Genomic DNA, 16,122 nt, shown 5'->3' with positions numbered 1-16,122 from the left:
CCCACTCCTCCATGGACTTGGGGCCACCCAGAGTGGACAGCGAATCTGTCCATGCGTCCATCTTTCTGATGCTTCATCCCATCCCAACCTTTGTTCCTCAGCTCGTTAGCCAATACCCTGCCTATGACTCTGCCCACCCTGTGGTTACCCTGTTTTCTATCCCCAACCATGGGACCCTCAGCTGACAAAAGGGCAAAATGCTGGAATCAGGACTGTGCTAGAAAATTCAGAAATGTAGATCCCTAGAAGTTTCCCAACAGCACCTGGCCCTAGGGCCTGCGTTCCATTTAATTCGCAAGGTGTTAAACCTGAATTGCATAGCACCTGCAGTTGATGCCATCAGAGTGCCATGTTAAGTGCCGTGGTAAGCAGGACACAGCGCCTGCCCTCAAGCTGCTTCTGGGCCAGTGGGAGACACAGACATGTGCGCAGATAATTATAACACAATTGAGGTAGGAGCTCAGATAAAAGCACAAATAAAGGAGAGAAAGATTGGAGTCCTTGCCTTGGCAAATGCTCAAACACTGGGAAAGATGCTGGAAGAACAAAGGCTAGCAACCCTTTAACTAGAAACTAGAATGACTCGTGTTTTATTGTGTTTCCTCCCAAGTGTACAGCCCTGTGCTGGAAGTGAGGAAACCAAAGAAGGGGTGCAAGGTGCAGGTGCCTCGAGGCATTAAACAGCAAGGCAGATCACATCAGGGTGTCCCAGGGCCCATGAGGTTAATTCCAAGTGAGTCAGAGAAACGATGTGGTTGGCCATGGTCCAGCGAGCTGGTACACTCGGGACCTACTGTGTAGGAGCTGGAGCCTACACCAGGTCTCCACCGCAGGGGCCATTTCAAATAAGCCAAGAAGGGCCAAGAAAAGGAGGAACATGTGGGAAATACCAGGTTATTTCAGGACCCAAGAAGTAGATGAGTGTGGCTGGAGCAGGGGGCAGAAGTGGGAACATGGAGGAGAGGGAAGGTTGGGATAGACTGTAGCAGGAGGCCTCGAATGCCAGATTAAGACGTTTGAGCTTTTTCATGTTGGCAACAGGGAGCTGAACATATCTGAGTGAGAGCTCAGCAGGATGAATATCCCCCTGGCCCAGCAAAGCCACCCTGCTTCCCCTCCCAGAAGACCCTGATAGGGTAGAGCTTGGCTGATGGACACTCATGAGGCCCAGCTGTCATGCCTTAGCCACAGTCACTGCCTTGGGTGGGGGTCTTGAGGGAGTGCCTTTTCTCCTCCTCCTCCTCCGTCTAGGAGTCATCCAGTGAGAGCAGTGTCTGGGTTCTCTGCTGGGGCAGAGATGCCTGCTGGAAGATTCCTCCTGTGTTTCAAGGGAGAGGAGCCCTACAGGGGAAGGAGACCAGGAGGCCAGCTCCCAGCCTCCACTGGGGGTGCAGTATAAATTTCGGGCCATGGTCCTACCCTTTCATCAGGCCTTCAGGGAGGCTGGCCCAGCCTCAGAATGGCCCTTCCTGCTGGCCAGAGAGTTGCCTGGGTACCAAAGGTGCTGCCCACAGACAGCTGGAAGGCAGGAAGCTCTGTGAACTTTGAATGCTGACCCATGCCTGCCCAGAGGACACTTGGACCTCAAACTGCATCTCAGTGCCCCTCCTTCCAAGCAGGCCCAGAAGCCCAAGACCAACTGAGAACATTTACAGTAGTGCCACTGAGGGCTCAGCTCAGAAGAAACCTTTGCCCTACACCACAAGGCTAAGCCCACCCACCCATATATTTATGATTGCTCTAAATACATGGCCATGTTAGCCACCCCTTGTGAGGTCTTGGTATTATGGACCTGTCAAGCCTCATTTCCCAAAGTACAGCCTCAAGAGTGAAAACTGTTGTGTCTGGAACCAGAGCAGTTCACCCCCAGGCACTGAGTCAGCTCATCTGTACACCCTATAGCCACTCTAGAAGCAGCCAATGAGACCCAAGTGACAGTGTTACACACACAGATACGCAGATGCACACGCATATATGTGCACACACACACTCACACACGTGCATTGCAGGGGACATCTGTTCCCCAGAAACAGCCCAGGAACTGTCAACAAAGTCCAACACTCATCTAAAATCTGGGATCCAAGATTATCTGGCAGAAAGTGGAATTCTAGGATGCCATCGGCTTTCCACACCTGCTGGAGCCCACTTTCAGGAGAGTTGCCTGAAGTTGCTGCACATTTGCTTCCTGGGTACTGGGTGGGCGACTTGAGATTCACAGTGATCAGGCACAGCCATACCGGGAGCGGGGATTGGCAGCCTTTCCAAAAGAGCCCCTGGGGTTCCTTTTCTTTCTCTTTGGCATGCTGTATGTATGGGGCTGACAAGAGCCTAGGAGCTTCCACCTTTGAGTCTGCAAAGCTTTGGGGCTGCAAGAATCCCTGAGACCCCATGTAAATATCTGAAGCAGACCAACTCCTTCCACATTTACGGCTCACACTCTAGTCCTCAGTGAGCCACTTAGCAGGCGTTTGTGGTAATAAAGAGAACCCTGGTTAGTCTCCAAGAGTGAAGATTGGTGGGGAACCAAAACAAAGTCTCCCCAGTATTAACTGAAGTGAGGCTAGAGTCTGCCCTACTCCCCATTGCCCTCTGCTGTGCTCATGAGCAGGTGAAGGAGGGATGTGTGCATTTCAAGTTAGTCTTTTAGCAGTCCCACCTGGCTTCCTTTATTTTCTCCAGCAGGGGCTGGGGTGCAGTGAGTTCTCCCTACCCTCCAAACCCCCTTCCTGGGTCCTGCCTCTTCCAGGCCTCCCCAGCTGCCCCTAGGAATTATGGCCCTGCGTGATTGAATCTGCTCAGCTAGCCCTGAACCTACCCCATCACTGGCCCATCCTCTGGCACTGCCAAGCCATGCACCGGGCCAAGCAACGCCTGCTGAGGACACGGTGCCAAAGATCAGCCTGTTTCCTCCTGTGGCAGGGTACACAGTCACATCGGTCGTGTCCTCCAGGCAGGGGCGGGTGTACGTGGCCGGAGCCCCCCGGTTCAACCACACGGGCAAGGTCATCCTGTTCACCATGCACAACAACCGGAGCCTCACCATCCACCAGGCTATGCGGGGCCAGCAGGTAATGGAGGGGGAGCCTGGGGCCGGGATGGAGGGAAGAGGGGGCAGATCAGACAAATGGGAGGGCAGTAAATACAGGCATGCCTGGACCACTGGGTGCCCCAAAGGGCAGTCATGTTCCTCCAGCCACCTTCATGCTGCCAGGAGTGGCAGGAGTGCGCATCCACCTACAGAAGGCCCCATGGGCCCTCCAGGATGCCAGCTGCTTCCCTTTTCCTGGAATGGAAGCAATGAGGAATGGGAAGGCTGCCAATGCCATTGCCCCACAGGGAGGTGGTTGGCAACCAGACTGTGCTGCCAAGAGTCCTGTGGTGGACAATGATGAATGCAAATTGGAAAGCTATAAGAGTCATTGGTGGTGAAAACAGGGCTCCAATCCCAAGTCACTTCCAGCACAGGGGAAAACTGGGCTCCTGGGAAGCAAGGTGGCTTTCCCAGGGTTCTATGGCAAATTCATGACTGGGTCAAGCCAAGAACCCTCTTGGTGGGGCTGCCTGCATCATGCCACCTCCTGACCCCAAATAACCCCAAAATCAGGCCTGGGCTCCTCCTAACCAGCAGCATCTGTGCCCTCTCTAGGCCAGAGCTGAGTGCTGTCCAGGCCCTTCCATGTTGTCCCCAGCTCCCTGCCGGCTCTCCTGAGCCTGGGAACAGTCCTGTCTCCTGAGTCTCTGACTGCCCTTGGCTGGTCACTGTGAGAATCCGCTCCTCACCGAGTCTAACCTAAATCCCTCTCACTGCAGAGCGCCACCCTCCTGCCATTCCTCCTCCTGTCTCTTGGGTGCAGGCCATCCCAGGCAGCTCAGCTCTCACCCTCCACCCTGCCTGCCCACACTCACCCAGGGCCAGCTCTTTTGGGAATCGAGGGCTAGACCTTGAGAGCTGGAGGGAATTTGCTGATGAATTTATGACATTTTTCCTGCCCAGTTCCGCCTCCAACATCCGAAGGAGAAACCACAGTGCTGAAGGCAGCTAAATTAAGTGAATTCCAAATCGCGGTGACCCACATAGCTGAGGCCACATATTTAGACAAATTTCTCCCGCCCCCTCCCTCACTTGCTGTCTGTCCGCTTCTTAGTTACTTTATGTAGGCACATCTCTTCCCTCTCCCACCCATGTGTATTATTTCCCTTTCCTCTCTTCTAAATTTTTTATCCTTCTCCTCAGTTAAAAGCTTTTCATCCTTGAGAATAGATTTCTCCTGAAAACACGCTAAGCCAGAGATGGACGGGGTAGGCAGAATCATGAGCCAGGGTGTCAGACAGACCCCAGTTCCAACCAGCTTGGCAGTGACCAGGTGACCGGCCTTCTGACCTTGGGCAAGCAATTCTCTGAGTTTTGGTTCCTTCCCTTGAAAATGAGGATGACTCTCTCTCCTAGCAGCATGGGGCTCACATGAGCTAACCCAAGGCTATAAACCATCCCACACAGGGCTTGTCCACGAACAGGGCGCCTTCCCCTTTCCTAAGCTACCCAGTGATCCAATAAGCATTAATTAGGTACCTTCTGTGTGCCAGGCAAAGTACCCTGGCCAAGAGGGAACACAGCAGGCTCAATGCCTGCCCTCATGAGGCTCCCAGCAGAGGGAGTGGGGGCTGGTGGGAGGAGTATGGAGCTGAAGGCACATGGAAAAGGGGCAGGGAGCAGAGTGGAGAAGGTCAAGGATAGCTTCTAACAGGAAGTGACACATCAGCTGAGACTTGAGGGATGGCAGGGGATGGTCTGGGGAGGACGCAGGGGCGGGGAGTGCATGCAAGAGAAAAGCTTGTGCAGAGGGAAGCCTGGAAGCCAGCCAAGGCCTGGGGCCTTTGGAGAAGAGAAATAACTCAGTTTGGCAGGACCCGGGAGCACTGCAGTGGGAGCAGGAGCTTGTGGGGACAGAGGCTGGGGAGGGAGGCTGGTCCAGCACGGTCCTGCTAGAGAGTTTAGATACTATCCCAAAAGCAAGAGGTGGAGTGGTGTTAGAGGCCACGCCAGCTGCCATGGGGGTGGGCTGAAGGGGCCAGCCTGAGGCTGGAAGGCCCTTTAGAAGGCGCCTCACCTAGGGACGAAGCAGGGGGGAGCAGTTGGTGAATTGGCACCCACCACGTAGCACTTGCTGGCAGGTTTACGGGTGGGAGAGGTGGAGGGTGGAGTCAGGGTTTCTGGGTTTCTGATGAGGGGGTGGATGTTGCCCTCACTGAAGTGGGGAGCACTGTACCCCAAACAGAAGGGGAACACAGCAAGTGCTCAGACACTGAAAGAAATCATAATTCACCATCCACGATGCTAATGCCAGAATGATTTATAACATCAAAAATTAAAAACAGTGGCTTACACCTGTAATCCCAGCACTTTGAGAGGCTGAGGTGGGAGGATCACTGAAGCGTAGGAGTTCCAGACCAGCCTGGGCAACATAGTGAGACCCCATCTCTACAAATAATTTTTTAAAACAGCCAGGAGCGGTGGTAAGTGCCTGTGGTCCCAGCTACTCAGGAGGCTGAGATGGGAGGATCACTTGAACCCAGGAGTTTGAGGCTACAGTGAGCCAAGATTGCACCATTGCACTCCAGTCTGGGTGATGGAGCAAAACCTTGCCTCAAAAAAAAAAAGCTAACCGTCCAGCAATAACTGATTAAACACATTATGATACATGCATAATTTGGAGCACTGTGGAATGACCAGTGATTATGTTGTAGATGAAAATATAATACATCATAGAAAAATGTTCATGATGTATTGTTTTATTTAAAAATCAGTATATAAACTATATTTGCCTTATTACCCCAATTTGTAAAAATAAAAGCATATATACACACACCTACAAATAGGCAACATGCCTCAGGGGAAAAAAACTAGAATAAAATCCACTAAAACGTTCGTGGTAGTTATGTTTGGATGTCTTCTTCATACTTTTAAATAGTCTCCTGATTTTTTGCCATTATATCACTTTACACACAAGATAAATGGCCACCAACAAAATTAACAGAAAGAAAGAAGAGTGGCGAGGGGATAATGACAGAAGGAAAAGAGGGAAGGGGAGAAGGGCAAACTGAAAACAGACAAGTCCACTCTGAGGGACAGGAGAGAGAGGTAGCGCGTGAGAAGGGAGGATCCATTTGTTCACCAAAAATTCTGAGTCAAAGGATGACCTTGGCTTCCCTCTGCCCGCGAGGCGAGGGCTCTGGGTTGTGCGAGCTGGGCAGCCAGCCCACTCCTCTCTCCCATCACGTGCCGCAGATAGGCTCTTACTTTGGGAGTGAAATCACCTCGGTGGACATCGACGGCGACGGCGTGACTGATGTCCTGCTGGTGGGCGCACCCATGTACTTCAACGAGGGCCGTGAGCGAGGCAAGGTGTACGTCTATGAGCTGAGACAGGTACAGCTGGGCAGGGGCTGGGCAGCTTCTCAGGTGCCCCCAACCTCTGCTTTGACTTGGGTAGCCACGACGGAAATGCGTTACTAGCGAGGCCAGTGCTGGAGCCAGGCCTGGGGAGAATCAGAGCCTCCTCTGTGGCTGGGTTCATATAGCCAGAGACGGGGTTCTGGGGAATGGAGTGGTGAGAGGATGCCGGAGCAGCCTGCAGAGGGAATTATGAGCCTGAGGACTTTTGCCAAACCCTCCCCAGCCTTTTTCTGCCCCTGGTTTTGCAGAACCTGTTTGTTTATAACGGAACGCTAAAGGATTCACACAGTTACCAGAATGCCCGATTTGGGTCCTCCATTGCCTCAGTTCGAGACCTCAACCAGGATTCCTACAATGACGTGGTGGTGGGAGCCCCCCTGGAGGACAACCACGCAGGAGCCATCTACATCTTCCACGGCTTCCGAGGCAGCATCCTGAAGACACCTAAGCAGGTCAGGCTTCCCTGGGGAAGCGGATGGAGCAAATGGGGCTGCAGGAGTCCCAGGAGTCCCAGGAGCTTCTGTGCCTCATCTGGTTCAGGATTTTCTTCCAGGCCCTCTCACAGAAACGGATGCCAATCTGTCCTGGCCATGCTTCCCCAAGTGGAAATTTTGAAAAGGGCACATTTTACCTTCAGGACCCTCCCATCACCCCCTTTGGCACTCTCTCCCTGCTTACCCTCATCCTCCCCCAACAACAAACAACAAGAAGTCCCTGGCACCTGACCCTCACTCCCCCCGAGACGCGCACACATGCAGTTGCCTACCAGTAGAGCATCCCTTCTGGGCTCACTCTTCTCTGGAAATGCTTCATGCTAGAAACCATGCCCACCTCAAAACCAACCCGTCTCGGGTCCCGTCCCCTGAGGATCATTCTTTTGCCCACACGGTTTATCAGTAAAATAGCCTAAAAAATAGACCAGCGTGAGAGATGGGGATGGGTCGCCTCCAAGTAACATGTATTTACACTTAATGGGGAACTCTTTTAAGACACGATATTTTAATCCAAAAGAATGACTTGAATGGTAGGAATTTCAGGTGCCATGATAGGCCAAGAGAGGAGATTGCTTTGGGTTGGGGAAGCTTCTTGGTGGTTTCACACAGGCTCCCTATTGTTCCTGATTGTTCCTGCTGCTCGGGGACGCCCGCCCCCACACTCACAGTGTGCATGCCCTCCCCCTCTCTTCCCGCGCCCTGCAGAGAATCACAGCCTCAGAGCTGGCTACCGGCCTCCAGTATTTTGGCTGCAGCATCCACGGGCAATTGGACCTCAATGAGGATGGGCTCATCGACCTGGCAGTGGGAGCCCTTGGCAACGCTGTGATTCTGTGGTTGGTTCCCCCGCTGTTCCCACCTCCTGGGCTCTCCTGAAAGTCACAATGAATCCAGGGGTTTTAAAGATAGGCTTCAGGATCTTTGTCTCTTGTCTTTAACTGCCCTCAGCTAGACCCACCCTGTTCTTATCCCATCTTGCTTACACATTTCCTTTTGGTGGAATCAGTGTAAATTCAATATAAATTGAAGTCCTGTCCAAAAGCCCCCGCTCTTAGAATTTGTCCTAAAAGTTATGGCTACTCAAGCATGTCTTCCACTTCAGCTTTTCAAGCTATAACACTCGCAGGGGCAAGTTGAGCGTGTTTTTACCATCTGGAAGGACCTTTCCTTCTCCCCTGGCGTGGAGGAATGTTTATCTAGTACAGAGATTTCTTTCCTCCAAAGCGCTCTGACTTCTTGCTTCCTTTCTTCAGGGCCTCATTTTCATGCTTCCTAAACACCCATTTATTTTACCGTATGTTTGCTGCTTTTTGAGCCAAAAAAAAAAAAAGACCTTGAGTATTTTTTCATATATGTTGATGAGATATTTTTCATCATAAATATAATAACATAAAGAACATTTATAAAACAAGGAAAAAAAAATCACTCAGCCTGCCATCACCTTAACAATGCCACTATTAATGCTGTGGTATATCTCCTCCCAGTCTTTTTCCCTTGCCTGTAATTTTATATAAATGCAATCATATTTGCCTACAACTTTAAAAAGGCATTGAACAGAAATATATAACTTCACAGGGAGAATAAAGGAAAAGACAGGCTCCTGTTCACAAGAATACTACAACCCAAGGGGGAAATGTCTTCCTCCAGGTTCCCTAGAAAACAGCCTGAGGCAAAAGCCTCTGTGAATGCTTTGGGAGTGGGAGCAATCCTAGAAGCAGAAGTGAAGCCGGAAGAGAGCACCGATGCCGAGCGAGCCAGCCTGTCCTCACCACGCGTGCTGCTCTTTGCTCAGTGTCTCAGCATTTCCAGTGTGGCGTAAAACAGCCCATTGTAGGGGAAGAAGGGGCAGCAGCAGACTTGTGGCTCCCTCAGATCCCTCATTTGTCATGGCCAGAGCATCTGCTGCCCAACAGTCCCGGTGGTGCCCCAGCCCTCTAGGCAGCACTGGGAAGCCAGGGCCTGTGCGTGTGCAGCCCAGCTAGTGTACAGGAGCAGGGTCTGTCTCTTCGAAGGTCTGTGCTGCATGTGGGGGCTCTTAGGTCCTTGTTGGTGGTGGTGGTGGTGGCAGCAACAGCAGCCTGGGCTTGCAAGGTGTGTAAAGGTGTCCACTGTGTTGGTTCCAGCCAAGAAAGCATGGCAGATGACCAAGGCCCGGGGAGGAGGTACACAGAACCTAGCAGGTCTTTAAAGTAACATATAAACTTCTCTACAGGAAGCAAGATACACATGTGCACACACACCCCTCAAGAGAATCGGTCTCACAGAAATGATTGGATCAAGCTCTAGCTTTTGAAGTCTACACCTATGTGCTACCTAAATACTGATGAAATTGCGGGCGAGAGCCCTCTGGGAAGACTATGGTCAAGCCCCATAGTTCTCAAACATGACTGCCCATTAGGATCACCAGGGGAGCTTTTAAAATGTCATTGCCCAGGCTTTACCCACACCAATTAAGCAGAATTCTGTGGAGGGACCTGGGCAGCAGTAATTTTTTTTAAACTCCCCAAGTGATTCCAATGGGAAGTCAAGTTTGAGAACTTCAGATGTAACCCACTATGTTGACACAGCACTCTACACTGTCAAAGGACATTCTCACCTCCTCTGATCCTCACAATCCCCCATTGCAAAGATCATGTGACCTGCCAAGGTCCAATGAGGAGCCCGTGGAGCCAAGACTCAAATCCACTCTTTCACGCTACAGTGCAGAGGTGCTGTTCACCTTTATGCTAAGAAGAACAGAGTATTGGCACAGATCATCATGTTGAAGCTATGAAACCTCTAAGCCACTCTACTTCTATTTCTTTTTATATACATTCATGGTTGGGAGAGGCAATAGGTTTCCGTTCCTAATTACATTTGACTTAGGCCGGTATAAGGGTAAATTTGTATTTCCTTGGTTACCTGGATGGGGTAGTGTGGGGGTTAGATGGATGCTGGCTGCACGTTGGAATCACCTGGGGTGCTTTAACGCCTCGCTCTTCGAAGTGTGGTCCATGGAACGTTCACATCACCTGGGATCTTGTTAGAAATGCAAAATCAGTGCCAAGCTATTGGATCAAAATCTGCATTTTAACATGATCCCCAGGGGGCGTGCACACATATGAAAATTTCAGAGGCACTGCTTTAAAACCTGCTAAGGTCTGATTCTGATGTGGTTTTGCCTAGGGTGTAGCTGAGGCACCAGGATTTTTTTAAGCTCTTCAGATGACTCACATGTGCATCCAGGGTGGGGAACCACTGCTATAAAAGATGATGAGGGAGCAAAGGGAAGTCAGCATGATCCACAGCGAGCACAGCCCCTCGGGGAAAGTGCTGAGGGGCTGCATGGAGGGGCCATGAGGTGGCTGAGCCCCTTTCGCCCCGTGCTCGCTCTTGCCAGTCCTTTGACATCCGAAGCCCCCTCCATCCTCCACCTCGCCCCCTCCATCCTCCACCTCACCCCCTCCAGTGGCTTTGCAGATCCCACTCGCATCTGGTTCTTGTCTTTCCCCATGGTCACAGCAGGGCAGCCTGAGCCCCTGCCCCACCCCAGCTCACTGGCCCTTCTCCTCCAGGTCCCGCCCAGTGGTTCAGATCAATGCCAGCCTCCACTTTGAGCCATCCAAGATCAACATCTTCCACAGAGACTGCAAGCGCAGTGGCAGGGATGCCACCTGCCTGGCCGCCTTCCTCTGCTTCACGCCCATCTTCCTGGCACCCCATTTCCAAACAACAACTGTTGGTAAAGCAGGCCCCTCCTTTCTCCCCACCCCCAGACTCCAGTCTCCCCCTGCACCTTGCTCTATTTCAAAGCCTGGGCTTTTCCCAAAATGGGTGCTAAGTGCCAGGTCGCCCAAGAGCCACCTTGGATGACTACTGGATCCCATTTGATGCTCTCATTCCAAAGGGCAAAGAGGGGATGTCATGCCAGGGTGAGAGTGGCAGTGAGCAGGGGTGATCATGACAGGGAGGACAGGAGAAGAAGGAAACAGTCTGGGCGTAGAGTTTGGATCAGAGCACAGGACTGATGCCAGTGGAGAAAAGTGGGGTGTGGAAGCCCAGAAGTCTGCCTGGATGCAGACCCAGGAGTCCTACAGGGGGGGTGCTGGAAACCAGGAGGCCAGGTCAATGAGACCCCAGCAGCAGGGAGCCCCGCTCAGAAGTGGGTGTGAGTCCACAGCAGGGCAGTTTCCTTCTGAGGGTCCATCACTTCCAGCTAAGTCTGGAGTCAGACACCTACTCATGACAGCCCTGGCCCCAGGTGGTCTCAGGAAGTGAGCTGCGGGTTCCAGGACTGTCTGTGCTGGCACAGGAAACAGGGACTCAGGGAGTCTCTCAGCCAAGGAGCAGGACCAGACAAAGAAGAGACCAAAGGGAAGATGAGGACAAAGGTGGGCCTGGGGGCTGTGCCCCTCTCTTTCAACTTCTGTCCCTGAGAGGAGACAGATATGAGAGCCAGCAGCAACCTGCGGGCGTGCTGGAGAACAGGAGAAGGGACTGAGCCTTTCCGGGAATTGGCAAAACCTAACTGAAGGGGAGGAGGCAGCAGGGTTTATGCCCCAGAATAGAGTCAGAGATTTGAGGATCCGGCAGGAAGGGGCTGGCCAGCCCTCCTTGGTGTGAGAGGAAGTACCCAGCAAAGGCTCTGACCAGCCCTGAGGGGGATCCCAGAGCCCAGGGAAAGACAGGGAAGGTGGAGGGAGAGGCGGAGGGGGTTGTTGACTGCAGCAAGGGCTCAACATGACACCACCCTGGCCCCACATCCTGTCTCCCCTCCTCATCTGCGGTGTTCACTTTCCCTCCACTTCTTCCTTCTGCTCTTTCTCCACCCTCTTCCTCCCCCTTTTCTTTGGTTCCTTCCTTTACCTTCCTCATGCAATCACTTGCTCTCCATGTGGGAGTTTCTCACCCACACTGGGGCTCGTGAGAGGAAAGGAACAGCTCTCCCCTGGCCAGCCTGGGGGGCTTCCTGGAGGAGGCAGACAGTCTTGGATGGGCATGTGGCTCCACCTTTGTGGTCTTGCCCTCTCCCCTCCTGCAGGCATCAGATACAACGCCACCATGGATGAGAGGCGGTATACACCGAGGGCCCACCTGGACGAGGGCGGGGACCGATTCACCAACAGAGCCGTACTGCTCTCCTCCGGCCAGGAGCTCTGTGAGCGGATCAACTTCCATGTCCTGGTAAGCTGGCAGCCCCACCAGCAGAGCCCAAGCTCCTATAGGAAGGAGCATCTGCCGTGGGAGAGGCAGAGAGTCTGCCTGGCTGGTTCTAAGCCCCCAGCAGACCTCAGGAAGCCAGCCAGGGACAGTGTACCCTGACCTTGGCCACTCCACATTCCCACCTCATGCCCCAGAGACACGCTACATACCACCTCACTAGACATCCTTCCAAAACCTCTTCTCCTGCCACTCTCAGATGCCGAAGGGAGGAAGGTGGGCTCAGTAGGTCCAGCAGAGAGAACTAGGAGCAGCTGGTGGGGGGCACAGCCCCAAAGGGAGGGATAAGCAGGCAGCAGCTAACAATTAAAGGCCAGGTCCAGGAGACAGTGGCATGTACAAAACAGGAGGTGAGACAGAGAGGGGCGCCAGTGATGTCACAAGTAGGGTAGTGGCCTGGTGCCCCATTTTATAGCTAAGGAAGAGAATGAGAGGTTTACTTCCATCCAGAGATACCAAATACCCAGCTCACAGCTCCAGCCCCAGAGATGCAAGCAGGGTCACTCAGAGCCCTCCTGGTCCCAGTAGTTCAATGGCCAGAGTTCAGAGATGTGAGCAGGTCTGAGAAGGTGCATCCCTGTTAAGGGGCCCCCTGAGACGCATCCACACCAGCAGCATCTTCATCCTCCCCACAAACTTGGAAATTCACTTGTTCTGACTCAGAAACTCTGGGGCTGGGGCTGGGGCTGGCGCCAGCACCCTGTGTTTTAACAAGCTCCCAGGGGACTCTGGTGCCAGCTCAGGTTTGACAGCCACTGCCTTTATATAATCAGGGATTGCAGGTTCCAAGGGGAAATTTTTAGGCTGCTCTAAGCAACCCCTTTACTTACCATCTATGCTCAGAACCAACCTGAGCGCCCCTGTCTTGCTCACGAGTTTGTTCATTCACCAATTCCACATGCTGAAGCCCTTATCACAGTGCTAGGGCCATGCTGGGAGGCTCCAGGCCTATTCCTTGCTTGGGAAGGAAGAGTGACACACAGTCATATGGTTCAAATGCTACATGAGCAGCAGGCGTAACTGGTCTGAAGAGAGTGGTGGGTGGGGTGGGATACAGGCGGGCACTGCCAGGCTTCCCAGAGGCCGAGGTACCCGGGCAATGGGAGTCTGGCCCCGAAGGATGTGCAGGAGCTTGGCAAAACAGCCAGGCAGCTAGGTTGGCATGAGCTGAGCTTGGAGCTCCTTTCACAGAAGCACACTCTTCCCACCAACAGACCCGCTAGAAACCTCCATCCACCTGCAGACTCACCCTGAGGGCACAGGGCAGCTGCCCTGCCATCTAAGGAAGGTGGAAGTTCTATCTCAGCATCCACGGTCCTGGCTCATAAAATGACGTTCTCTCCTCCCTCACCGCTGCCCTCATCTCCACCCCCCAGGACACTGCTGACTACGTGAAGCCAGTGACCTTCTCAGTCGAGTATTCCCTGGAGGACCCTGACCATGGCCCCATGCTGGACGACGGCTGGCCCACCACTCTCAGAGTCTCGGTACATCTCGGTACAGGGCACGCACCTCGGGCATGAACCCCACCCCCACCTCCACCTCAACCCCAAAGCCCAGAGCCTGAGTGTGCCGGGTACAGAGGACACCATCCCTCATCTCACCTTCCCACCTCCTGTCCTGGCAAACCCACAGTGTGGCTCCTTCCTGCCTCTCTCGGGGCCTGTGCTGAGTGTTAGCAGATCAATTCCTTAAGGGCAAGGCCCAGGCCTTCTCCTGTTCAAGTTTCCCCGTATCCCCAGCACAGGGGAGCACAGGGTGAGCACCGGAGAAATACAAAGAACCACTGGATGAGAAGGGATCGGAGATCTTAATCACCCACCTCCCTCCTTTACAGATGAGGACAATGGAGACCAGAGAGTGACTCTTAGAGCCTGGGGTTCTGCTTGTTAGGTGACTAACTGATTCACAGAGCTCCTAAGTATTGCAAAAAGAAGTGTTTTAACTGACTGACAGCGGTCCTAAGCATTCCAAAAAGAAGCGGCCCCATCCCTCAGCCACATTTTCTAATCCCTGGCTCTGGGGCATCCAAAATGTTTGACATCTAACATTCAAATGCTCCCTGCAGCCGCAACTCCATGTAAATCCCACTCAAGGAAAATGTCAGGCAGTGATCAATTCTGCTGCTGTGCTGCAAGAGCAGGCAAAAGTTATAAAATGGAATAGCTAATGCCTGAACCTTGAGGATTTGGGAAACAACTTTTAAGCACACCACGGTGCTCTTAAGCCATTCTGTGAGGTCCAGTCTCTGAGCAACGTCTGTGTGAGTGACAGAGTCCAGCCAGGAAGCAGTTTCAGAATTATTCAAGTTCTTACCTGCATTTCTTCAACACCAGGAAAGGACCGTACAGTCCACAGCAATGCCCCTGAAAACCTCCCCTTCTCTCATTCACACCCATCATCCCCCACAGCCCCTCCACACCCCTCTCCCCAGGCCTCCCACAGTCCCCTGCCAAACCTCCGTCCTCACACCTCCCCTCTTTCTCCTAAGTCTGAGCTCCTGGGCTGGCAAAGCTGGATTCATCGTTAGTGAGCCGGGAGAAGGGGAAAGCTGGGCGCACTAAGTCATTTTTGTCCTCTCGCAGTAATTACAAAGTCACTATGGCAAATGAATGAGTACGTGGCACTCACCCCACAAGCATGCTGAAGCCCACAGTGCAGATTAACACACAGGGTAATCCCTGCTCTGACACCGACGATCTCCGTGCAAGGTGGTAATGAGCAGCACAGGTCAGGTGGGAGGCAGTATGCACTTGGAGGACGTACAATCAAGCAATCAGATGATAGGTCAGAGGGCCTTCCTGGAGGAGGGAGCCTTTGGCCAGACTTTAAAGGCTAGGCAGGATTCAGACATGCAGAGACAGGGAGGATGGGCTTTTATTCCGGGAGAGCTGACAGCATCACCAAGGCAGGGAAATAGGAAAGGCAGGATGCAGCTTCAGGTAAACCCCTTTCTCACCTTATAAAGAAAAGGTGAGAAACAGAGCTGAAAACTTTGTAGAGCAGCTAAGTTTCTAAAACTCTGATTTATCTGGATTTCTAGCCCCCAGCAAGTGAGACACATTCTTCCCATCATTCTACAAAGTCTTACTTTGCCTCTACTAAATGCCCAGCGCTGTTCTAATACCATAATATCTGGCCTGTTGGGGAAGTGAGCCATCCCATATTATTGAGTGTAACAGTTGCTTATTACATTAAATTATTTATTTTAATCAGCCAGATAGAAATTCTTCTGAAGGTCATTATATAGTTCTCAAACTTCTTAAACAGTATGCTGAGTGGGAGCTGGCTGTTTTTTCTTTGAGACTTGAACTCACCAGGATGAACTTTGGTGCTAGAATGCCGTAAAGCCCCTATCCTGAACTAAGTTCCTTTCCCAAACGGCTCCACGGTGACCCCTGGATATGGCTTCGCTGGCTACCATTGCAGTCGGCAGGTCCACCTTGCGGTGGGGAGCTGAGGGGCGAGATGGGTAGATCAATGCCTAAAGCAAGAGCGTGTGGATCTGACTGAGGGCCAGAGAGCTCTCCTTCGAGAAAAGTTAATGAATTTAAGATACACATGACTTTGTGACACCTGTTTCCTCTCCCCTGGTTTGGGCTGTGTTGTCGGTAGTGACAGTTACTGCCCCTCAGCTCCAGGCTTGAATATCCATCTGCCTGCTGAGGTCCTCGCCCTGGGTGGGCCACAGGCACTTCAAACTCAACATGCCGCACACTGAACTTCTCACTTAACCCCTACTTTCTTTTTTTTTTTTTTTGAAATGGTATCTCCCTCTGTCACCCAGGTTGGAGTGTAGTGGCACGATCTTGGCCCACTGCAGCCTCTGCCTGAGTTCAAGCAATTCTCCTGCCTCAGCCTCCCGAGTAGCTGGGACTGCAGCCACTGCGCCCAGCTAATTTTTGTATTTTTTAGCAGAGACAAAGTTTCACCATGTTGGCCTGGTTGTTCTTGAACTCCTGACCTCAGTTGATC

At 52.4% G+C, this 16,122-nt stretch overlaps 1 protein-coding gene across 3 annotated transcripts in view; it reads left to right on the top strand.

Annotated features, from left to right (window-relative positions):
• The window catches only part of ITGA11 (integrin subunit alpha 11), a 135,632-nt gene that overhangs the window by 93,399 nt on the left and 26,111 nt on the right, over positions 1–16,122 (top strand). For all 3 annotated transcript variants that reach the window (XM_011521363.3, NM_001004439.2, XM_005254228.4), the window contains 7 exons: positions 2,920–3,068; positions 6,287–6,427; positions 6,703–6,906; positions 7,654–7,784; positions 10,503–10,669; positions 11,969–12,111; positions 13,524–13,634. In XM_011521363.3, coding sequence (XP_011519665.1) covers positions 2,920–3,068; positions 6,287–6,427; positions 6,703–6,906; positions 7,654–7,784; positions 10,503–10,669; positions 11,969–12,111; positions 13,524–13,634 — 1,046 coding nt within the window. The remainder of the gene's footprint in view (positions 1–2,919; positions 3,069–6,286; positions 6,428–6,702; positions 6,907–7,653; positions 7,785–10,502; positions 10,670–11,968; positions 12,112–13,523; positions 13,635–16,122) is intronic.

Source organism: Homo sapiens, chromosome 15 (genome assembly GCF_000001405.40).
Source record: "Homo sapiens chromosome 15, GRCh38.p14 Primary Assembly".
Taxonomy (NCBI): domain Eukaryota; kingdom Metazoa; phylum Chordata; class Mammalia; order Primates; family Hominidae; genus Homo; species Homo sapiens.
The sequence above is the reverse complement of the archived record's forward strand: the minus strand, read 5'-3'. Positions and strand labels throughout refer to the sequence as shown.